The sequence below is a fragment of the Homo sapiens genome, chromosome X (genome assembly GCF_000001405.40).
Source record: "Homo sapiens chromosome X, GRCh38.p14 Primary Assembly".
NCBI classification, from domain to species: Eukaryota; Metazoa; Chordata; class Mammalia; order Primates; family Hominidae; genus Homo; species Homo sapiens.
Genome location: NC_000023.11, coordinates 132,219,618 through 132,245,182, shown reverse-complemented (window position 1 = coordinate 132,245,182; position 25,565 = coordinate 132,219,618). Strand labels below are relative to the sequence as shown.

Sequence of the window (25,565 nt, the reverse complement as noted above, 5' to 3'; positions counted from 1 at the left end):
AAGCCTTACATGTTAGACCTAAAACCATAAAAACCCTAGAAGAAAACCTAGGCAATACCATTCAGGACATAGGCATGGGCAAGGACTTCATGTCTAAAACACCAAAAGCAATGGCAACAAAAGCCAAAATTGACAAATGGGATCTAATTAAACTAAAGAGCCTCTGTACAGCAAAACAAACCACCATCAGAATGAAAAGGCAACCTACAGAATGGGAGAAAATTTTTGCAACCTACGTATCTGACAAAGGACTAATATCCAGAATCTACAATGAACTCAAATTTACAAGAAAAAACAAACAACCCCATCAAAAAGTGGGCAAAGGATATGAACAGACACTTCTCAAAAGAAGACATTTATGCAGCCAAAAGACACATGAAAAAATGCTCATCATCACTGGCCATCAGAGAAATGCAAATCAAAACCACAATGAGATACCATCTCACACCAGTTAGAATGGTGATCATTAAAAAGTCAGGAAACAACAGGTGCTGGAGAGGATGTGGGGAAATAGGAACACCTTTACACTGTTGGTGGGACTGTAAACTAGTTCAACCATTGTGGAAGTCAGTGCGGTGATTCCTCAGGGATCTAGAACTAGAAATACCATTTGACCCAGCCATCCCATTACTGGGTATATACCCAAAGGATTACAAATCATGCTGCTATAAAGACACACACACACGTATGTTTATTGCGGCAGTATTCACAATAGCAATGACTTGCAACCAACCCAAATGTCGAACAATAATAGACTGAATTAAGACAATGTGGCACATATACACCACGGAATACTATGCAGCCATAAAAAATTATGAGCTCATGTCCTTTGTAGGGACATGGATGAAGCTGGAAACCATCATTCTCAGCAAACTATCGCAAGAACAAAAAACCAAACACTGCATGTTCTCACTCATAGGAAGGCATTGAACAATGAGAACACATGGACACAGGAAGGGGAACATCACACACCGGGGACTGTTGTGAGGTAGGGGGAGGGGGAGGGATAACATTAGGAGATATACCTCATGCTAAATGACGAGTTAATGGGTGCAGCACACCAACATGGCACATGTATACATATGTAACAAACCTGCACATTGTACACATGTACCCTAAACCTTAAAGTATAATAATAATAAAATTAAAAAAAAGAAAATTAAGTTGGAGTCAGAGGCAGGGGCTAGATAATAATGGACCTTCACTATTCCAGCTCTCTAATTCTCCTTAGTTTCTTTTACCCTCTTAGTTTCTTTTGGGTACTCTATATCAGAATATTTCATCTCACCTCTCTCATATGCCAGTGGAAACTATCTGTACCCTCCATCTGAATTCATTCTGGTTGATCTGAGCCTCCATCATAGCCTGATTTCATGCCAGCCTTCAGCCTCTTTCCCTTCACATTCATTGTACCGGCAAGTAAGAATCTTTGCAACTGGTGTGTTTGCCATCTGGATGGCCATAGGTAATCCCATAAATCCTGGTCTAATTTTCCCATAACACTGCATTCATCATGTCACTATGCTGCTCAATGGATCCTGATGGCTCTTTGCCTCTGGAACTCAAACTAACTTCTAAAGCCTGCATTGCCAAGTCTGAGTCTACCCAGCCATGCCAGCCTTGTCACATACTCTACCCTAGGTAGTCTGACCTTTTCTTTGCCTTCTGCCCACCAATTTCATTCCATCTCTCATGCTTTTGCTCTTTTTCTTCCCCCTTTTCAATCAGAATATCTCATTCTCTCTCCCTTCTGTGCAGCCAAACTGTGCCTAGCCTCTGAGTCTACATAAATCACACATACCTCATGAAGCTTTTCCTAAGACTTGAGCTCCTCATTAATCCTTTGATTCTTTTCCTGAATTTCCATAGCTTTTGATGCGTGTCTGTATCATGCAGGTTTACACTAAGTTATATGCATTTCACTCATCATTGCAAGCTTTAATGATGCCAAGTGTGGAAGTCTTATCTTTTCAACTATGTTATAAGCTACTTGAGAACAGGTTTCATGTCCCATTAGATTTTTGATAGATTTTTTTCAGCTTTTATCCAAGTGTCAAACATTTTGTAAACAAATTCCCAACCAAATCCATATGTATTTCTTTTCCACCTTCAAATAGTGAACTAAACTGAAACTCAAGGGGAGTTTTCCCATAATATCAATTTTTGGACAGGATTAAGAATGCCTTATCTCTGGCATCTGAAATTTTTACCCTGTTTCTCTTTATACTGATTTATTTTTATGCCAATTATTGTGTGTACTTATCCTAGCTTTCACTAGCTTTCCCCATAGTCCAGTATTTTGTTATTTGGCCAAACACCTGGATGATTTATTGGCAGTGGTGTTGTTTAATCTAATTTCTGCATAGTCTTCACCAGGCAATTATGGGAGGAATGAACTACTCTTTGAAGAAGCTGCCAAACTTTACCCCAAGACATTTTCCAAATAAGATACTAGATTTATTGCAAAACTCATTCCAGTGGGCAAAAATGTATAGTAAATTCAGTTCCAAATCATGAGGTCCACAAGGTTCTAACTAGAGGGCTTTGGGAACTCAAAAACCCAAATCTTTCTTTGATTCTAAGCAGAAAACTATTACTGGAAGTGCTGACAGTTGATAAGTTTAAGACATATGGTCCTATTCTCATTCTCCAAAATGAGAATGGCGGTTTTAGCAGTAAATTGATAGTGTAAGTAAATCTAGCACTTGAAAGAATTTAATTAAATTTCCCCCATCTTCAGTGTAAACACCAGACAGAATCCATCCTCCTGGTAAGGAAAGGTAATGGAATTCCCCTATGGCAAATGACTATTGCGCTAGACTAGCTCCTGTTCAAAAGGCAGGAATGATACTCATGCAAGATAGCCTGTAGTCAACAGCAGATACAGGCAGGCCTCCAATTTTGATTGGGGAGTATATCACAAAAGAGCATGAACATGGCTTCTTAGGGGCACCAAGCATTTATTCCGGTGAGCTCTAACACAGAATAGCTGGCCCACAGTAAAAGGGAAAGGATCCATTCTCGCCAAACTTGAAAGCAATATAGCAAGTGAAGCCACAGAGTGAGGGAAAAAAGGAATGGAAACACAGAAAATGCAGACTTTAGTTGAAAAACATTTTAGAATAATACTAATATTTAGTGAGCTAACAACTGTTTCAGAGCTCTAGAAACCTGAATGGTTAATTAAAAATTTTCAGACTCCTTTTTTCCTAGAAGAAAAGAAGTTCACACAGAAAGCCTTTAACCAGCTTGGATGAATATGCAGTAGAGAGTAATGCACTACCCCAAGTCCAGTTGTGCCATTCCGCACCATGTTCACATGGAAAATACTTGTAATACATTTTGGAAACAAAACTTTTTTTGCTTTTTTTGTTGTTGTTTGTTTGTTTGTTTTTCAAATGCAGGTGTTTTCAACTGTGTGTGGGTGAGTGTATAAGTCTGTTCTCACACTGCTGTAAAGAAATACCCAAGACTGGGTAATTTATAAAGGAAAGAAGTTTAATTGACTCACAGTTCTGCATGGCTGAGGAGGCCTCAGGAAACTTACAATCATAGCGGAAGGGGAAGCAGGCACATCTTACATGTTGGCAGAGAGAGAGCGTGAGTGAGTACAGGAAAACTACCATTTATAAAACCATCAGACCTCATGAGAACTCACTCACTAGCACGAGAACAGCAGGGGGGAAATTGCCCCATAATCCAATCACTTCCCTCCCTCAACACGTGGGGATAACAATTCAATATGAGATTTGGGTTGGGACACAGAACCAAACCATATCATTCAGACTTGAAGCTATTACATAAAACAAAAGGAATTCAGATTGAAGGATGGTTATAGGCCTGAATCTGGGCAAAGTTGTAAAGAAATCAACAAGTGCCTCATATTTTCCGTTGCACTTCTCTTCCCTCAGCCTACTTCAATAGTGCCAACGGAAACCACTTACAGTTGCCCTCACTCCCAGGCTCTTTGCACCTTTGTGTTTGTATTCATGCCCTTCGCTCTGCCAGAGATATCCATGGCTCCTTGCCTCTTGCCTGCTTCAGGGAGTCCTCCCTCTCCTTCAAGACTGAACACAACCTTCTCCATGAAGTTTCCCAGATCCTTGCTCACTCCACCATCAGCTAGAACTAACCACTGCTTATCTTATGCTATCCCCCACTGCACCTGTAAATTTTTATCATTATTGTGCATGTTTGTTTCTCCTTACTAAACCATAAGTTCATTGAGAGCAAGGACATGCATTTTTAACTTTATCTCCAGCTCCTAGGACAGGGACCAGCTCATAGTAGTTGCTCAATAAATGTTTGTCAAGTGAAAATGATTTAATTAAGTACTGGGAATAAAGCAAATGGGATGCTAAAGCTGCATGCCTAAAAAGATCATTTTTATAGTTGTAATCATTTTATTGATCAATTCCAGTAACCACCTACTTATTTTCAGAAATGTAGTAACTGTAATATTTTCAGAGATGTTACCTCTATTTTGGCACTTAGGATTTTCTACCTCACATTTCTCATTTTTATACATTTTATTCTTGCTGTAGCAGGCTACTAGTTTCTTGAAGGCAGATGAATATTTCCCTTTGTGCATTATACACGGTAGGCACTCAATAAACATTTGTTGAGTTAATTAAGTCTTTACCTGTGTGTAGATCTCTACAACTGGCAAAGCTCTTCACAGTACCCCAAGGGAGTAAGTAAAGCAAGTATCATTCTCTCTGTCCCTCGTCATGTTTTAGTCAAAGAAACTGATTATCATAATGTGACAGAGCCTGGCTCACCTTCAAACTCTGGGCAAGAATCAGGGCTGAAAGCCTGATTCATTTTATAAAAATAAATTTTCATTGATTTAATAAATAGATGAACAATAACACTTTCACATTTGTCAGTTATCTACAAAGGGTTCCCCTCTTTTGTTATGTGGTTGGTTTGTTTTATTGAGCTTCAAGTGTGTTTTACCTATATTGTATATTCGTCTTAGCTCCTGAAAAAAAAATATTTTAACTAGTCTCTAGGCTTCTAAATCTTTTTTACAACCAAGAAAAGAATAACTATCTAATATCTATATAATAATAAAATAATAACTATCTAACCCTAGGTAATTTATGTAATCATTCCGAACCTGTGTTCTTGTCTTTCACATGGGGATAGAAATGTCTACCTTACTGCCCTTCAGATAATTGGTAGATGGTCTGAATGCAATACCATATTTGAATGAACACAGAAGAAGTAAAATGTGTGGTACAAAAATGCACAGTATCATTTTTTTCACATTGATTATGTGATTGACTAACCAGTAAGTCAATGTCTATGTATTCTGATGTAATTTGATCTACATTCTGGGATGGCTCCAGAGAAAGATTACTTTCTCCTGGTAGCTATAGAAAACAGAAAGAAGCCATATATTACAAAAGTCCAGGCTCTGAAAAATTTCCTTTTGACAAGCAAGCACAGCAGCTGTTACTACTTACCGTCTAAGACATTCAATGAAGTGGTTCATATCAATGGACCGAATGGGGACATTGCTCCAAAAAGGCACCCTTGCACAGAGAAGCTCATCAGTCTAAACAAAGATAACAAGGGGAAGGAGTAAAATATTGCACTCCAGCCTGGGCAACAAGAGCGAAACTACGTCAAAAACAAAACAAAACAAAAACAAACAAAAAACTCCAGAGCCAATTATGAGGACCTCAAGAAAACCAATCTCATTTCTTAATAATCATACTTCATTTTTAACTCAAAATTTATGGACCAGGTCTATCACTCTTTTTTTTTTTTTTTTCCTGAGGCAGAGTCTCACTTTGTCACCCAGGCTGGAATGCAGTAGCACAGTCTCGGCTCACTGCAACCTCTACCTCCCAGGTTCAAATGATTCTCCTGCCTCAGCCTCCCAATTAGCTGGGACTACAGGTGCATACTATCACGCCTGGCTAATTTTTGTATTTTTTGTGGAGATGGGGTTTTGCCACTTTGGCCAGGCTGGTCTCAAACTCCTGGCCTCAAGCAATCCACCTGCCTCAGCCTCCCAAAGTGCTGGGATTACAGGTGTGAGCCACTGCACCCAGTCTATCACTCATCATATTCACTTCATTTGGCTCTAAGTGATGTTTGGTTTACTTGGTTGGCTATTCCCAACCAAGTAAATTTGAATATGCGCCACAGGTTATGTAGGCAGTTTCCAAGTGTCTTTGAATAATTGTTCAATTACTTCAAAGAGATGATACACATGCTTAAGTTCTGGTATATTGGTTTTAAACCAATGTGCTATGGTTTGAATGTTTTTGTTCCCTCCAATATGCATGTTGAAACTTAATCCCTAATGCAACACTGCTGGGAGGTGTGGCCTAATGGGAGGTGTTTAGTGCTGCTATAAAAAGGGTTCGTGTAGTGGGTTTGCTCTTTTTTTGCTCTTCTGCTATGTGAGGAAGCATGATAGGCCCTCACCAGACACGAGATGTTAGCACCTGATCTTGAACTTCCCAGCCTCCAGAAGTGTGAGAAATACATTTCTGTTTGTTATAAATTACCCAGTCTGTGGCATTTTGTTATAGCAGCACAAAACAGATAAGAGACAATGTTATCACTAATTTTCAGCTGTGTATAGATAGATCGTTGGAGCAAAATAAATGGAATTGAAGCTAAGACAAATATTGTAGCCTTGCTTCATTGTTAGAATTGTGTAACTGTCCACTTATGTGCTCTGTCTCTGCCTCAGTTCTTGGGGCCTTCTTGAGTCCTGGGAGCAAATATTTGCAGAATATCTATGGAATATTCAACTCCTTACTTTGATTTTTAAGAACTCGAGGCCAGGGCCAGGCACAGTGGCTCACGCCTGTAATCCCAGCACTTTGGGAGGCCGAGCCAGGTGGATCATTTGAGGTCAGGAGTTCGAGACCAGCCTGGCTAACATGGTGAAAACCCACCTCTACGAAAAATACAAAAATTAGCTGAGCAAGGTGGTACACACCTGTAATCCCAGCTACTCGGGAGGCTGAGGCAGAATTACTTGAACCCGGGAAGCAGAGGTTGCAGTGAGCCAAGATCTGGCCACTGCACTCCAGCCTGGCAACAGAGTGAGACTCTGTCTCAAAAAAAAAAAAAAAAAGAGAGAGAGAACTTGAGGCTAGGCACAGTGGCTCACACCTGTAATCTCAACACTTTGGGAGGCAAAGGTGGGAAGATCACTTGAGCCCAGGAGCTCAAGACCAGCCTGGACAACATGGCAAAACCCTGTCTCTACAAAAAATACAAAGATTAGCCATGTCTGCTGGTGTGCACCTGTAGTTCCAGCTACTCAGGAGGCTGAGGCAGGAGGATTGCTTGAGCCCAGGAGGTTGAGGCTGCAGTGAGCCATGATTGTGCTACTGCACTCCAGCCTGGGTGACACAGTGACAGAGTGTGACACAATGACAGATAAATTTTTAATATTTCTATTAAAAATATACAGCCTCCAAAAAAAGAACTTTAAGAGTGTCTTATACAATTTTGGCTCTCACAAAGCACCTAATGCCTCACACCTAGTAGAATCATAGGATTCATAGGCTGCTAGATCTAGAAAGAGCCTTGGGAGGGGAAAACTCAGAAAGAGGAAGTGATGAGTCTTGATTACACAGGGAGTTGGTGTTGTAGGAGGCTTCCAAACTCAGAACTTCATACTTCTCAGTCCACTGCTGTTGTCAGCATACCACATTTGAATAAATAAACTAAGATCTCTCAATTGCTTATTTGCATAGACATTCGGTGTGAGTTGGCAGTCTTGTTTTTGTAACTCCCCTGGCCTCTGGTTTACTGCTGCAAATACATTACAATTGGTATAATGTTCCCAGTCCAAGCCTCTGCCACTCATTTCCTGGCATGATACTGCATACATACTTTTCTTGATATGTAGGCAAAAGCCAGCAGAATCTCCTATTGTAATCCCCAGGAGTCAGTGTCAAATACTTAAAATAAATAAATAAATACATTCACCGTATTAGTCATAATAACACACCCTTAATTTCACTTCATTCAAACAATAATGTTAGCAGAAATTAATGACATCTTTTGGATCAACATAAGCAGAGATAAGCCCAAACAAATAATCTAGTTAGTTTACCTCTAACCCATAGGGGGTAGTAAGTAAACATTGTCCAATTGGCAGTAACACTCAAAATATGACGTTGGGTTCAACCACAGTGTTGGTTTAAATTATAATATATTGTAATTATCTTAGGTAAAATTCCACCCAGAAGAACCAAATTTTAATATTTAATAAAATGCTACCACAAAGTACAAATTAGCTAGTTATTTGGGGTCACTTTTCAATTCATAAAAAATACCATGAGTTCTAGTTGACATTTTTTTTCTTTTTTTTTTTTTTTTTTTTTTTGAGAAGGAGTCTTGCTCTGTCGCCCAGGCTGGAGTGCAGTGGCGCGATCTCGGCTCACTGCAAGCTCCGCCTCCTGGGTTCACGCCATTCTCCTGCCTTAGTCTCTCTAGTAGCTGGGACTACAGGCACCCGCCACCACGCCCGGCTACTTTGTTTGTATTTTTTTTTTTTTTTTTTTTTTAGTAGAGACGGGGTTTCACCTTGTTAGCCAGGATGGTCTTGATCTCCTGACCTCGTGATCCGCCCGCCTCGGCCTCCCAAAGTGCTGGGATTACAGGCATGAGCCACTGCGCCCGGCCCCCTAGTTGACATTTCTAAATGACGCAAATATCTATTGCCACAAATCTTTACCATCCCTTGTGTCCTAATTCGTGGAAATATGCTGTGGTTTAGCAAAACATAGCCTTTGGAGACTGTCAGTTCCCATAGTATCTCAGGTAGTGACTCTGAATTGGATTATCTCCCTTTAGATAATAAATCCAAAAGTCTCTTGTTTTTCTGAATTCTCTACATAGCGTATCCTCTGTATTTATCTCTCTTACCTCCTCACTTATCACTGATCCTGAAAGGAATTCAAAATATTCAAAATAGCTCACAAAACCCAACCCAACCTACAGCCTCAAAGAGAAATGTCGGAGTCTAGGATGCAAACTCTACAATCAGACCCACTTCTATAATGTAAACAAATGACACTGTCTTGCACATGATAGGAAGTAGACCCAGAGAATCCATCATTTGAGGAAAGACATGGAGACATAAATCTCCTCTGGAATCATTAACATTTTAAAATGAACTTGTAGATATTAATATGTTGCTGTTAATGACATGAAAGGGTTTCGTGCCAGGTATTTAAGTGAAAGCAGAGTACAAAATAGTATGTACATTGTAATTATATGTAATTATATATACATACACATATAATTACAACGTACATGTACGCACATATATGTAATGTACACACCCTTGATATGGTGTGATGGGAATGGCATTTTACTGATGAGAATTGGACTTTACTTCTATAGTCTTTCTCCTCAAACTCCATAACTTCTGTCAAATTACAAAAAACATCAGACAAATCCAAATGAGAAACATTCTACAAATATCTAACCAATACTGTCAACGTCATCAAAAACAAGGAAAATCAAAGAAAGTGTCACAGCCAAGAACAACCTAAGGAGGTATGACGACTGTGGTATCCTGGATGGGATCTCTGAACAGAGAAAAAGCATTAGGTAAAAACTAAGGAAATTCAAACACAGTATGGGCTTCAGTTAATAATAATGAATCAATATTGGTTCACTAATTAAAACGAATGTACCATGCTAACATAAGATGTTAATAATAGGAGAAACTAGGTGTGTGTTATATTGGAACTCTATACTATCTTCACAATTTTTCTGTAAATCTAAATCATTTCTATCAAAAAATATACAACTATGGTTACTTCTGGGTGGTAGAATTTTAGGTGAACTTTATGTTCTTCCTCTTGCCAGTCCATAGTTTTTGACAATTAGCATGTACTGCTTTTGCAAAATGAAAAAATTAAAATTTGTTTGTAAACATATGTGAATTTATATTTTATTCTTCACAATAACATCAATATGAATTTAAAGCATTGCACATATATACCAGATCTATTTATTGTGTACAGACAATTCAATGTAGGGATTTACAAGCCTCTAAGAGATCCACAGCCCCACTTTTAGAAATTTCGACCTTAACTTTAGATGAATCTGGAATCCTGTTCATAGTTCAGTCTTTCCTGATCACACTGAAAGGAGGCTGAACTTTCTAGGTTGTCTGAAAACTTACTGAAATCCCCTTTTGTACTCTCTACTATCGTTTCCTAAATTGCATGCATTCTCATTTGATGTCATTAACTAATGAGGATTAGGAGGAGCACAGGGCAAGAGACAGGGAAAAAGATTTATAATCTATCTGTAAATTATGTATAGTTGAACCTAATTCACACTCTTTCCTTATCTTAATATGAAACACTTATCTTTTCTGATACACAAATATGTGTCCAGAAATAACTTACTTTTCAAGCAAAATGTATTTTATTTGTACATACTTCATTTTAGCTGGCAAATTCACGTAAAAGATGGAGAGGGAGGAAATCAATAGCTTACTTCCTGTAATGTGCCTGGTCCACTGTAGTTGCTTGATGGTTACAAGTTTCTTTCCTTCTCTTCCTCTTTGCTACTTGTATTATCAAACATTTTGTCTTTTGCCAATCTGATAGGTGAAAAACAGTATTTCAGTGTGGCTTTAATTTACACCTTTCTTATTACGGAGTGAGACTGAGTACCTTTTCATGAGTTTAGGGCTCTTTATGTTTTTTTTTCAGCCAGAGATTTTACAATGAACCATGGATGATTTAGAAGGGTGGAATATGGAAAACTGAGATTTAGCTTTTTAAGGAAGTTCTTGGCAACTTGTGGATGAGGGAGAGAGGTCATCATATTATACAAGTGTGGAGAAAGGCAAAGGGAGAGATCAGTAATAAGAATAAGAGGGGACACTGATGAGAAAATAGGAATATTTACTCTGAGTAGCAAATGTAGTTCAATAGTGGATATAGATGCATCAGGCTAAGGGAGCTTGATAACAGTCACTAATTTCAGTTAATTTCCAAAAACATTCATTAAGCATCTTGTGTCATTAAGACCAAAGTTTCTTTCCTCAAGTTTCTCACAGTCTAGGAGGAAAATAGACATAATAAAGAGGAAATAATACAGTCTGTAAAATGATATGATGAGGGAATGAAGAGGGGTATTGAATATTATTTCAGAAAGATTTTTGGGGTGGGGGTGGGGGTAGGAGGAGTGTAAAAGAAAGCTTTGTGAAATAGATGGTGTGTGAATTGGATCTCAGAGGAAGAATATATATTAGCCAGGCAAAAAAGGGAACATTACTACAGACCTTGCAGGAATAAGAAGGATTATAAAGGTGTACTATGAACAGTTGTCTACCAATAAAATAAATAACCTAGATTAAATGGACAAATTTCTAGAAAGACAAAAACTACCAAAATTTACTCAAGAAAAATTAGGCAATCTGAAGAGACCTATAACAAGTAAGAGATTGATGTAGTTAAAAAAAAAATAAAAAGGCAAAACTACCCACAAAGAAAAACCTAGGCCCAGATAGCCTCACTGGTGAATTCTACCAAACATGTGATGATCAATTAATAATAGTTCATCACATACTCTTCCAAATTAAAAAGGAGGAAGGAACATCTCCCAACTGATTCTATGGGACCAATATTATCCTGAGAGAAAAAACAGACAAAAACATCACAACTAAAAAAAAAACCACTGCAGACCAATATCTCTTATGAATATGGATACAAAAATTCACCACAAACACTAGCAAACTGAATCCAGCAAAATCCAAAAAAGAATTATGTATCATGACCAAGTGAGATTTATCACAGGAATGCAAGTTTGGTTCAACATTTGAAAATCAATTAGTATAACACATTATATCAACAAAACAAGAAAATTACATGATCATCTCAGTAGACACAGAAAAACCATTTGACAAATATCCTAACACTATTTCATGATTTTAAAAAACACTCCACAGACTAGAATTAGAAAGAACATCCTCAAATTGATAAAGGGTATCTACAAGAAACCCACAGCTAACAGCGTACTTAGTAGTGAAAGGCTACATGCTTTCCAGGAGATGGAAAATCAGACGAAGATATCGATCTGTTCTCACAATTTTTATTCAACATTGTACTGGAAGTTTTAGGCAGGGCAATTAGGCAAGAAGATGAAATAAAAGACATCCTGATTGGAAAGGAAGATATAAAATGATGTCTATTCACAGATGACATGATCTTGTATGTAGATAATGCTAAGGAATCTGAAAAGAACTATTAGAACTAATAAGCAAATTCAGCAAGTTTTTAGGGTACAAAATCAATATACAAAATTCAATTTTATTTCTATACACTTACAATGAACAGTCCAAAATGAAATTAAGAAACAATTCCATTCATAGTAGCATTGAAAAAGTATAAAATGTTTAGGAAGAAATTTAACAAAAGAGGTGCAAATCTTACACTCTGAAAACTAACAAATATTGTTCAATAAATTTTAGAATATCTAAATAAATTGAAAAATATCCCATGCTTGTGGATGAGAAGACTTAATAGACTTAATATTGTTAAGGTGGCAATACTCTTTGAATTGATCTATAGATTCAATGCAATTCCTACCATAATCTCAGGTGGATTCCTTTTAGAAATTGACTAGCTGATTCTAATATTCACTTGGAATTGCAAATGACCCAGAATAGCCAAAATAATCATGAAAAAGAAGAACAAACCTGGAAGATTCACACTTCTGATTTCAAAATGTACTAAAAAGCAGTAGTAATCAAGACAATGTGTTACTGCCATAAGGATAGACATAAAACAATAGAATAGAATTGAGAGTACAGAAATAAACCCATACACCTATGGTCAATTGATTTTTGCCAAGACCATTCAACAGGGAAGAATAGTTGTTTTAACAAACTGCTGGAACAACTAGTTAGCCACATGTGAAAGAGTTAAATTGTACCCTTACTCACCCCATATACAAAAATTAACTCAAAATTAATCAAAGATGTAAATGTAAGAGCTAAACTTGTAAAACTCTTAGAAGAAATTATAAGGTAAATATTCATGACCTCAAAATTGGCAAAGTATCCTTAGATACGACACCAAAAACACAAGCAACCAAAGAAAAAAATAGATAAATTAAACTTCATCATACTTAAAAAATGTTGTGCTCCAAAAGATACTATCAACCCAAAGACAACCTAGAGAATGAGAGATCATATTTGCAAATCATCTATGTCTAATAAGGGACTTGAATATGGTTTGGATTTGTGTCCTTACACAAATCTCATGTTTAATCAGAGGAGGGACTTGGTGGGAGGTGATTGGATCATGGGGAGGATTTCTCCCTTGCTCTTCTCCTGATAGTGAGTCAGTTCTCATGAGATCTGATGGTTTAAAAGTATGTGGCACTTCCCTTTTTGCTCTCTCTCTCTCCTGCCACCATATGAAGAAGGTGCTTGCTTCCCCTTCACCTTCTGCCATTATCGTAAGTTTCCTGAGGCCTCCCAGTCATGCTTTCTGTTAAATCTGTGGAACCGTGAGCCAATTAAACCTCTTTTCTTCATAAATTAACCAGTACCAGGTAGTTCTTTATAGCAGTGTGAGAACAGATTAATACAGACTTATATCTAGGATATATAAAGAACTCTTACAACTCAATGATAAAAAGAAAAAGAACCCAATTTGAAAATAGGTAAAGGATCTAGACATTTCTCCAAAAGAGATATACAAATAACCAATAAGCACATGAAAAGATGCTCAATATCATTAGTCAGTGGGGAAATGCAAATCAAAACTACAATGTGTTACCATGTCACACCCATGAGGATGATTACAATCAAAGAGTGAGATAATGACAAATGTTGGAGAGGATGAGGAGAAATTTCAACCCTCATACACTACTGGTGGGAATGTGAAATGGTGCATTCACTTTGGAAAATGGTCTGGCAGTTTTTCAAACGGTTAAACCTAGAGTTGTCATATGACTCAGCAATTCTCAACTCAAAAGAAATGAGGCCAGGCATGATGACCTGTAATCCCAGCACTTTGGGAGGCCAAGGCAGGCAGATTACTTGAGGTCAGGAGTTTGTGACCAGCTTGGCCAACATGATGAAACCCTGTCTCTACTAAAAATTCAAAAATTAGCCACGCATGGGTGGGGGGAGGGAGAACATCAGGAAGAATAGCTAATGGATGCTGGGCTTAATACCTAGGGGATGGGATGATTTGTGCACGCCTGTAATCTCAGCTACTCTGGAGGTTAAGGCAGGAGAATTGCTTGAACCCGGGAGGCGGAGGTTGCAGTGAGCTGAGATCATGCCACTGCACTCCAGCCTGGGCAGCAGAGTGAGACTCCGTCTCAAAAGAACAAAAAGAAAAAAAGAGAGAGAGAGAAATGAAAACACATTTTAAATTTGTCCACATTTTAAAATTGTACACAAGTGTTTACAGGAGTCTTATTCATAATAGTCAAAAGGTGGAAGCAACCCAATTGCACATCAACTGACAAATGGATAAACAAAATGTGGTATATCAATATAATATAATATAATATAATATTATTTGGCCATGAAAAGGAATGAAGTACTGATATATGCTATCACATGGATGAAGCTTAGAAACATTATGCTAAGTGAAACAAGCTAGTCACAAAAAACCACATATTATATGATTCCATTTATATGAAATGTCCAGAAGAGGCAAATCTAGAGAGACAGAAAGTAGATTAGTGGTTGGTTAGGGCTGCAGGAATGGAGATAGAGAGACAATAGCTAGAGTACCTGGCTTCTTTTTGAAGTGATAAAAATGTTCTAAAATTGTGGTGACGCACACACTGGGGCCTCTCAGAGGGGAAGGTGGGGGTAGGGAGAGCATCAGGAAGAATAGCTAATGGATGCGGGGCTTAATACCTAGGTGGTGGGATGATCTGTGCAGCAAACCACCATGGCACATGTTTACCTATGTAACAAACCTGCACATGCTGCACATGTACCCCAGAACTTAAAATAGAATTTGAAGAAAAAAAATGTGGTGATGGTTGCGTAACTCTGTAACATAATACTATCATTGAATTGTACCCCTTAAGTGGATGAATTATGTGGTGTGTAAATTATATTTCAATAAAGCTGATTTTTTTAAGAAAAAAGAATGCTGCCAATCCATAGCGGGGAAAAATGAAGATAGGGGAAAGCCCTCTGGGCAGAGGTAATATATAAGGCATATGCAAATAAAATATGTACAGAACTGTGTAAACAGTTTAATAACATCATCACTATTTAACACCTACCACGTTGCAGGCACTTTTCTAGACCATGGGATATTCAGTGAACAAAATTTACAAAAGTACCCATCCTTGTGGAGTTTACATTGTAATAGGGGAAACATATTAAAATCCCTAAAGAACATAGTACATTAGAAAAGTGTAAGTGCTAATGAGAAAAAAATAAATAAGACTTGAAGGTATTGCATGAGGAGGGGGTGCAATGTTACACAGAGTAGGAGCTCTTGAGTAAAACAGCTGAAGAAAGGAAGGAAACTGAGAATCTGGGGGAAGAACGTTCTAGATGGCACAGCAAGTACAGAGGCTAGTGTAAGAGTATATCTATCATTTATGAAGAGCCAGATTATGTAGTGCTTTTTAGATTATTGTAAGGACTTTGACTTTGCTCTGAGTGAGATGAGAAATTACTGTAGGATTTTGTGGCTATAATGGGATCAGTTTGGCTACTGCGTTGAGAATAGATTGAAGGAGGCTAAGTTCACAAACAGCAAGAGCAATTAGAAGAATACAATAATCATCCAGAAAAGTGAAAATGGTGGTTTGGGCCAGATTCTTAGCAGTGGGTGTGGTAAGAAATAGTCACATTTTGGACATATTATGAAGATAAGAACTTCAGTATCTCCAGATGGGTTGGATTGTATGGCATAAGGGGAAAAGAAGACTCTAGGATGACTGGAAGAGTGTAGTCTGTGCAACTGGAAGCTGGAGTTGCCATTTACTGAGATTTTTAAGACTGCAGAAGGGAGGCTGGGAATGGTGGCTCATGCCTGTAATCCCAACACTTCAGAAGGTGCAAGCAGGAGGACTGCTTGAGCCCAGGAGTACGAGACCAGTCTGGGCAACAAAATGAGACCTCATCTCTACAAAACATACACAAATTAGCCGGGTATGGTGACGCTTGCCTGTAGTCCCAGCTATTCAGGAGGCAGAGGTGGGAGGATTGCTTGAGCCCAGGAGGTTAAGGCTACAGTAAGCCATGATTGCACCATTGTACTCCTTCCTGGGCAACAGAGCAAGATCTTGTCTGAGAGACAGAGAGAGTGAGAGAGAGAGAGAGGAAGGAAGGAAGGAAGGAAGGAGGGAGGGAGGGAGGGAGGGAGGGAGGGAGGGAGGGAGGGAGGGAAGAGAGAGAGAAAGAAAGAAAGAGAGAGAAAGAAAGAAAAAGAAAGAGAAAGAAAGGAAGACTGACTGCAGGAGAGGCATGTGTTCATTTCTGAGGAGAGGTGGTTATCAAGATTCAGCATTGGACATGTTAAATCTGAGATGTCTGAGTAATACAAATGGAACTATAGTATAAGTATGAATCTAGAGTAGCGGTCCCCAACCTTTTTGGCACCAGGGACTGGTTTTGTGGAAGACAATTTTTTCCATAGAGGGTGGGGAGGTGGGGGGCGACAGCAGGGGATGGTTTCAGCATGAAACTGTTCCATGTCAAATCATCAGGCAGTTAGATTCTCATAAGGGGCATACAACCTAGATCCTTCGCATGCGCTGTTCACAATAGGGTTCATGCTCCTATGAGAATCTAATGCCGCTGCTGATCTGATAGGAGGCAGAGCTCAGGCGGTAATGCTTCCTCACCCACAAGTCACCTCCTGCTGTGTGACCCAGTTCCTAACAGGCCACAGACCGGTACCGGCCCATGGCCCAGAGGTCGTGGACCCCTGATCTAGAACTATGGGAGCAGTCTGAACTGGAGATGTAAATTTGGGAGTCTGCAGTATGTAAGATGGTATTTAAAGCCATAAGACTGGGTGCAAATTCACTGAAACCATGATGATTTTATTTGTACTAGAACATAAAGGATGTGAAGGTGGGAGATGTGCTTGGAAGGTAGGCAGGAATAAGAATATAGAAGACCTTATATTTCATGCGTATAAACTTGGGCTTTTTCTGATAGAGAGTTGTTGAAATCAGCAGAAATATGTAGTTAGACTTGTTTCAAACAGACTTGTTTCATAACACTGGTAAAAGTATGCAGAAAACACCAGAGACATACAAACGATTTAGGAGGCTATTACAGCATTCAGGAAAGAGTTGTCACACAAATGTTTCTCCAGTCCCTCTACACACTAGAGCAGACATAGGATATGACGGATGTAAGAAAGACTAAGGAGGTAGACTTGGCAGGACTTAATGGGTTGTTTGGTTATAGGAAATGAGGATAAAGGAAGAGTTAAGAGTGATATTTTATATGGTTTGGATCTGTGTCCCCATCAAATCTCATGTGGAAACGTAATCCCCAGTGTTGGAGGTGGGGCCTGGTGGAATGTGATTGGATCATGGGGGCAGATCTTTCATGGCTTGGTGCTGTCCTTGCTATAGTGAGTCAGTTGTTGCAAGATCTGGTTGTGTAAGAGTGTGTGGCACCTCCTGCTCTTTTCCTCTTGCTCCTGCTTTCCCCGTGTGACCTGCCTGCTCCTGCTTGACCTTCCACCATAAGTAAAAGCTCCCCAAGGCCTCCCTAGAAGCCAGCAGATGCACATGCCATGTATCCTGTACAGCCTGCAGAACCTTGACCCAGTTAAACCTCTTCTTTATAAATTACCCAGCCTTAGGTATTTCTTTCTAGCAACACAAGAATGACCTAAAACAATACCCTAAGTTCTACTTTCAATGACTGCTGGATGGTAACACCATTTACTGTGACAGGAATCACAAGAAGGGGGGAAAGCTCTGGATATTAAAAGGAAAAAAAAACCCTATGATATGCTAAAATTAACATAGTAAGTTTGAGAAACCCTTAGGATCAGCCTGGGTTCTCAAAGCTAGCCTCTAAGTTAATTTTGTTAATCTTGTCATGTGGGAAAAGCATCCACTGAATTTGTCTGCACAAGCACTGTGGTTGGCTTGAACACTACATTTCTATGTAAAATAATTTAATATTTAGACTTTTAAGATCTGGTTTACAGGAGTGTACCTCACCACCCCATCCAACCCTCCAAACTTCTCATTCCCCAGCTTTCTAGCTGACACAAAATTGAGTCCCCAGCCATTCAATGCTAAAGGTCAAACGGTCTTACATTGAATTCCTTGAGCCATGAGGATCTCTGTAAGGTGCCTACTTGAGCAGCAGCAACCCAGCCTCTCTCATGCTGACGTTGTCATGGCAACAAGGAAGTGTGTTGTCTCTTCTTTTTAAAATCCAGACTATGTATTTTATTTTTATTTTTATAAAGTTTGAAATATATGGAAGATTAGGCCGGGCATGGTGGCTCATGACTGTAATCCCAGCACTTCGGGAGGCCAAGGCAGGAGGATTGCTTAAGCCAAGGAGTTTGAGACCAGCCCAGGCAACATAGCAATACCCCATTTCTACAAAAAAAAAAAAAAATACAAAAAATTAGCTGGGCATGGTGGCACATGGCTGTAGTCCCAGCTACTCCGGAGGCTGAGTTGGGAGGATCACCTGAGCCCAGGGAGTTCGAGGCTGCAGTGAGCTATGATCATGCCACCGCACTAAAGCCTGGGTGACAGAGTGAGACCCTGTCTCAAATATATATGTGTAGAAAGAAAAAAGAAAAGAAAAAAACCCAAAGTGGGTGTTTTTAGTTTAATCTTTTGCTGACACCTAGTGCCAGAACTCTGCATATTCAGCTACCTGCTCCAAATAAGAAAAAAATAAATAGAATTAACAGGATTTTAAAATTGCCATGAATTTGACAAAAAAAAACCCGATGATTTATTTTAGCAAACAATATTTATCTTATCTTTACATTATACTTTTCACATCATTTCCCACATTTAAATAACAGCCTTTTAAAGTATTCAGACTCCAGGCCTTCTAAATGTCTAAGAATTCAATGTTGAGGCAATTTCTTTCTATTCTCATTTTTGGTTCCCTGCTGGGGGAATTGCTAAGAGTGCATAGAGGCCCAAGTAGTTCAGAATTCAACTCTTTGTAAGTTTTAAAGTACTTAGAATAAATTCCCCTTGGAAATTGTATGGGATGAGTCTGGAGTCCACGATGTTTTCATAACCGTGCTTTTCAACCATTCTCAATTTCACATTATGGGTTTACACTAAACAGTAAAAATTTGGCCTTGCATGTAATTATTATAAGTGCTCATTTCTAAAGAGGAATGAATTTGTAAATAAAGGGAGGGAAGAGTGACTTTTTATGGCATGAAATAATTTTGAGGAGAAACACGATTTGTATATACATCATTAAAAATAGGGCTTAAACTATGTGGTAAATAAAACTTGTGGGCAGTAAAAGAATTCAGGAGGATTACATCTGTGTTTGAAGGTGTTATAGGTACAGAGGCAAAGGAAGAAATGAAAATGCAAGGTTTGTAAAAATGAATGAACGAGTTTTCTGCTTGAATCTGCATCTACCGGCTGTGTGAACTTAGTTGTGTGAGCCTCAGTTTCCTCATCTCTAAACTAGAGATGATGATGACAATGTGCTTGCCTTATAGGGTTGCTGTAAGGATTGAAGTACAGAATTTCTGACATGTGGCAAGTGCTCAATAAACAATAGTAGTAATAGCAGCATTAAAAATAACTAGGCTTACCCCAATGCCTCCTCTTACAGAGTCTAATATTGTCCTAGTGTCAAAACAAGGGGGCTCCTTGTTGTAAATGTTCCAGAGCACTTTGGAAAGTAACTATGACCACCTCAGGTTCAGTACCAGGTGCCACAGATCCAAGGTCAAGGGGCCCCTGGGAGGTTATAGAGGCATGTTTCCAGAGGGCACTTGAAATCAGTATGAACAGTCAGTCTTACTCGAGGGCAGAGAAACAGGGTAATAAAGTCTAGATTCTTTAACCTTGCCTCACTGCCCATTCGCTGCCCTGTCCTTCAAAGAAACAAAACTGCTTTCTGTGGAACAAGGTGGCTAATATAAGATAGGCTCAGACTAACTTAGGTTTGAATTCAAACTCTACCACTACCCAACTGTTCGACTATGTACAAACTAACTTCTTTGAGCCTTAATTCCTTTGTTTGTAAAATTGGGAATAATAATACCTAACTCTTAAGGTTATTGCTAGGATTAAATGAAATGATGTGCATAAATCACTTTGCACAGTGCCTCGCAAATAATCTGTAATCAAGAAATTATCATCAGGCTGGGTGTGGTGGCTCAAGCCTGTAATCCTAGCACTTTGGGAGGCTGAGGCAAGTAGATTGCCTGAGCGCAGAAGTTCGAGGCCAGCCTGGGCAATATGGTGAAACCCCATCTCTACTAAAAAATACAACAACAACAACAAATTACCAGGGATTCTGGCATGCACCTGTAGCCCCAGCTACTGGGGAAGCTGAGGCAGGAGAATCGCTTGAACCCAGGAGGCGGAGGTTGCAGTGAGCTGAGATCGCACCACTGCACTCCAGCCTGGATGACAGAGCAACTCTGTCTCCAAAACAAAACAAAACAAAAGACAAGATAAACTATTATCATTACATGATTAAATCATCCGACTTGCCACCACATCAAATATGGCCTTGATATTGAGACTAGCTTGGCAATTTCAAATGGATTTTAATAATCTGAGAAGCCTGTCTTACACGTCATTTCTTTCTATGGTTTAAACCTGATCATAAACACCATTTGTTAAACACCTACCGTATGGTGGGTACTTAGGCACTTTTTCTTACTTAATCTTCACATCAAATATGGCCTTGATATTGAGACTAGCTTGGCAATTTCAAATGGATTTTAATAACCTGAGAAGCATGTCTTACATGTCATTTCTTTCTATGGCTTAAACCTGATCATAATCACCATTTGTTAAACACCTACCATATGATGGGTACTTAGGCACTTTTTCTTACTTAATCTTCACAATACCCAAATAAGGTAGATCTATTAATATTTTCCCTTCACACATGATGAAAGAGAAGCTCAGAGAAGGTAAGAAGTAACTTGCCTCAGGCTACATATGCAGCACAGCCAATGGTTGAACCTGGCATGGATGTCGCTAGCCCCTGATTTTGTATACCGCAATTAAGACCTTTGTAAAAACACATTCCATGGCTTCCTACAGCCTCCAGGGGAAAAGTCAAACCCCTTAGCTTACTACTCAAGGCTTTCCCCTATGGTTCTAGCCCCTACCGATTCTTCTGGCCTCCTTGCCTACTGCCCAATCACCTTCTCTAGGAAATCTTCCCTGATACCCTTCCTAAGTCTCCCATAACACCCTGGCCGATATCTGTATCACAGGATGTGCCACGCTATACTGTAATGTTGATTGTATTGTCTATATTCCTCAAAAATGCTAGTAAAGTGCTTGGCACAGAGTAGGAATTCAATAACTGTGTGATAAATGAATGAGTGGATACATTAATGAGTATCAAGCAAGAAAGCCCCAAATAATGTCCTACCGCTTTACAGAACAGTGGTGCTTAAAATGTGGTCCCTGGGCCAGCAGCAACAGTGTCATCTGGGAACTTAGATATGCAAATTATAGATCCTGACCCAGACCTACTGAATAAAAAACTCTGGGGTTGAGACCTGGCCGTCTGTGGTTCACATCACCTCCAGGTGATTCTGATGTACATATATTAGGAGTATGGGAGTATAGTTATTATTAGTACTAATTCTTTAAATTTATTTGGTACTTGATAGATTACAAAATAATTTTCTAACTACTATCTTTCAAATCAAGGATGAAGTGGAGAGGGAAAAATTGTTAAGGAATTCAGATCTATTTTAAACACATCCCTATTTAGTACGCCTCTCAGTTCTGAGAAACTAACTTTGTCAGCAGTCGCACAAATTTGTGACTTTGTAGGAGTGTCTGCCTGGCCAGGTTGGGGTAGTGTCCTCTGTGGTCAGCAGCACCTCTAGTGAAATCTCATTGATTGGATGAAGGATTCCAGGTGAGCAAAATTGAATGTGATTAAATTCTCATTGATGCTGTAGGAAAGCTAAAGCTATAGGAAAAAAGGCTTACTCATGTAGGGGATGAGGGATACATGAGTATTTTTTAGTGCTTTATGCAGACATGATGTTTCAGTAAGTGAAAGAAGCCATTCACAAATTTATATGAACCCATTATTAGTTTACAAAAAAAAAATGTTCTTTAACTCTCTCCAGAAAAAAAATTGTGAAAGACACTAAAATGTTAATAGCAATTTTCTCCAGGTAGTGGGATTATACTTTTATAATTTTTTGCAAATAACATTATTTTCATGAGAAAAAAGATAATAATAAAGGTATAAAATTGGTTTTGTGTACTGGGGGAGCCTGACATGCAGAACTAATGATTAACTAATGATTGGTGTAGCTGGAGGCAGGATTTGAAAGAGAAGATTGGAATCTTAGAGGGTAGGAGCTAGAAAGAATCCAGGACAATTTAGCTGATATCAATGGGGTCCCTAAAGCATTGAAATAAGATTTCTGTAGGCAAAGACTGAGGACATTACTGGCTCAAGCTTTCTGGTAATTCAAGAGCAACTTCTAGCAAAAGAGAAGGGAAGAGCCTGGATGGAAAATAGATAGCCATGTATAGAAAGTAGATGGATAGCCATGGGTTTTTTCCCAGGACCTAGAAGGCAAGACGGCTCATTTGGAGAGTGGAAGTTAGGGTAAAATATCCCAGGCAGTTGGTGGCTCCAAGGATTGCAACTGAAGGAGGTAACAACTCGAAAAGAAGAAAGGGATAAGTAAGCAACTGGTGCCTGTAGCAAACATCCAGCACTTTAAACTTGTGCCAAACTAATTTCAAAAAATGAGATTATGGCCCTATTACTTATATTATCTGCATATAGTGCATACACTGTGGTTTCTTCACACTATGGTAAAAATGGGTTGTGTTCTTTAAAATAATGCCTGAGCAATACTTTGGAAAGGAGGTTGATGCAGAATTAAAGCAAAAGTTGTGAATCTCAAGGGCATGATCTCTAGAGAAGTCCTCCCATTCCCCTCTTCCCATATTCAAGCCTTTGGAGTAGAAAATTATTACTTGAGCAGTTTCTATTTATTGAGCAATTAATATTTGGAAGGCTAAATGCTTTGAATGGATTTCTCATTTATTATTCTATGAGTTAGATACTGCTATTATGCCCAACTTTACAAATGAAGGAATGGAGGTGTAGCTTGCAAAAGGGCAGTGTTAGGACTGTCTGGCTCTGAAGTCCAAATTCCTTCTAAAACGCTGCCCTGCATTTGTTAGTCCTGAAAATACCCTAAAGCAAGTAACAATCACTATAAAATGCTAAAATTAGTAATACCTACTGTGAGGTTATAAAATGATACGGTCATACTGCATTGGTGGGAATGTGAATTGGTGTGACCTTTCTGAAGGACAATTTGGCAATACTTACCAGAAGAATTTTAAGTGCAAGTGCCTTTTGTTTCAATTATTGAATTACTAGAAATTCACCCTAAACATTAACTGACAATGATATATGTCCAAGGCGTTTAGTGCAAAAACCTAGAAGCAATCAGTGTCCTTCAAAGGGGAGCTGGCTAATTAGCTTATGATACAGCCATGAAATAAAAATTAAGAAGGCCAGACATGGTGGCTCATGCCTTTAATCCCAGCACTTTGGGAGGCCAAGTCGGGAGGATCCCTTGAGCTCAGGAGTTGGAGACCACCATGGGCAACATAGTAAGACTCCATCTCTACCAAAAAAATTAAATTAAATTAAATTAGCTGTGTGTGGTGGCATGTACCTGTAGTCCTAGCTACTCGGGAGGCTGAGGTGGGAGGATCCCTTGAGTCCAGGAGGTTGAGGCTGCAGTGAGCTATGATCATGCTACTGCCCTCCAGCTTGGGTAACAGAGGGAGACACTGTCTTAAAAAAATTAATTAATTAAAGTTTAAAAAGCAAGGTAAAAAATAGTGTGTACAGTTGATTACTTTTGTAGTACAGTAATTTTTAAAAATATATATAGAAGGTAGATTGATACACTGACATATGAATAATGTTCCCCCCTGAAAAACATAAGAAGCTTTTAACAATAAATATCTTTGTGAAGAGTAACTGAATTATTATTTTCGTGCCACTTGCAGATATTTGAGCTTTTAAAATTTTGTTACCCCCATGTTTGCTATTTTTTAAAAATTAACAATTCATTAAATCTTTTAAATAAAAACCAAATAGCATTTATTGAGGCTTTATAATGTGCAAGGGACTGTGCTAAGCACTTTACCTGTAATACCTCATTACATTTTCACGTTAACTTCTTATCTCCTTTTTACAAGTGAGGAGTTAGAGGCTCAGACAAGTGAAATCACTTGCTTGGGGACACAGAGCTAGAATGTGGCGGAGCTGCAATTTTAATGCACCTCTGTCTCATTTCAGAGCCTTAGCTCTCAACTGCCAGGCCGCACTCTTCTGCTTGCTCTTTATACCCTCATTGCTTAATGAGAGTACACTAGCAAACAACAGGAGTCTAATGAGATAATGTATGTGAAAATACTTTTCTAAGTATAGAGATGTTTGGGGAGGGCAAGCAAGGGTAGGGAATTTGTTTAAATTGGGCGGACCTGTCCACTGACCCCTAGACAGTCAGGATTTTTTTTTTTTTTTTTTACAAAACCAAGATCAACAACTTTCTTTTGTTCCTCCTTTAAAAATATTATAAAGTTATATTTACTTCCTTTTTCCCAATTATTGTTTATAAATTAAAATATGGAGAAATAAAAGCCATTTCATAATAGTCCTCACCCATAATTACTTTGTTTCAGATTTGAATGGCTATGTAACTATTACACACCTGCGTTTTACATAAACAGTAGCAACTAGACATTTGTTCAGTATCTTGCTTTTTCAGCCCTACAATATATCTTGGCCATCTTTTTATATAAACACTTACAAATCTGCTTTTCTCTTTTAAAGTAGCTGCATAATATCCTATTCTGTGAATACAGATAGGTAGGTAGGTAGGTTGGTAGATAGATAGATAGATGATAGATAATAGATATAGAGAGCTATGAAACTTTTAAAAATCACCTACTGAAGGACATTTAAGCTTCTTCCAATTGTTTGATTTCCTAATCAATGCTGTAATGAATACCCTTCCTAAGAAAGTTTAGAAGGATCTTTAGACTGAGTGTAATATTTGTCCACTGTAGTTGACGAGAGTGACCCCACAGGACGCTGTACTGAGGGGAGGAGTATGTTTCACTGCGTGGAGAAACAAAGAACTCTCTCCTAAGCATGACCAACACATTCAGAGATATTAGAATTGCCAACAGGTGGGATGACCTGAAAAAGAACTCCTTGCTTTGACAGTTTAGTAATAGAGCAAAGACTTGCCACGATTGCTCAACACTGGCTGGATCAGAAGAGGAATTTCCAGACTCAGTTACAAGCACGGCTGGTGGAGGGCTGTGAATCCCACCAG

At 38.8% G+C, this 25,565-nt stretch overlaps 1 long non-coding RNA gene across 1 annotated transcript in view, besides 3 other annotated features; it reads right to left on the bottom strand.

Annotated features, from left to right (window-relative positions):
* Nucleotides 1-25,565, bottom strand: part of RAP2C-AS1 (RAP2C antisense RNA 1) — a 214,305-nt gene that overhangs the window by 187,629 nt on the left and 1,111 nt on the right. The window contains exon 2 of the long non-coding RNA NR_110410.1: nt 5,472-5,563. This is a non-coding gene — a long non-coding RNA (RAP2C antisense RNA 1). The remainder of the gene's footprint in view (nt 1-5,471; nt 5,564-25,565) is intronic.
* Nucleotides 7,688-7,982: a silencer, noted in NCBI's record as "tiled region #7036; HepG2 Repressive non-DNase unmatched - State 24:Quies". NCBI's record gives its function as "represses a minimal TATA promoter and a strong SV40 promoter by Sharpr-MPRA in HepG2 cells {active_cell/tissue: HepG2}" and the evidence as "EXISTENCE:reporter gene assay evidence [ECO:0000049][PMID:27701403]".
* Nucleotides 20,901-21,430: an enhancer, noted in NCBI's record as "NANOG hESC enhancer chrX:131357781-131358310 (GRCh37/hg19 assembly coordinates)". NCBI's record gives its function as "activates a minimal SCP1, AML or CMV promoter by ChIP-STARR-seq in naive H9 embryonic stem cells {active_cell/tissue: H9 hESC(naive)}" and the evidence as "EXISTENCE:reporter gene assay evidence [ECO:0000049][PMID:30033119]".
* Nucleotides 25,365-25,414: an enhancer, noted in NCBI's record as "active region_29972". NCBI's record gives its function as "activates an Ori minimal core promoter by ATAC-STARR-seq in GM12878 lymphoblastoid cells {active_cell/tissue: GM12878}" and the evidence as "EXISTENCE:reporter gene assay evidence [ECO:0000049][PMID:35858748]".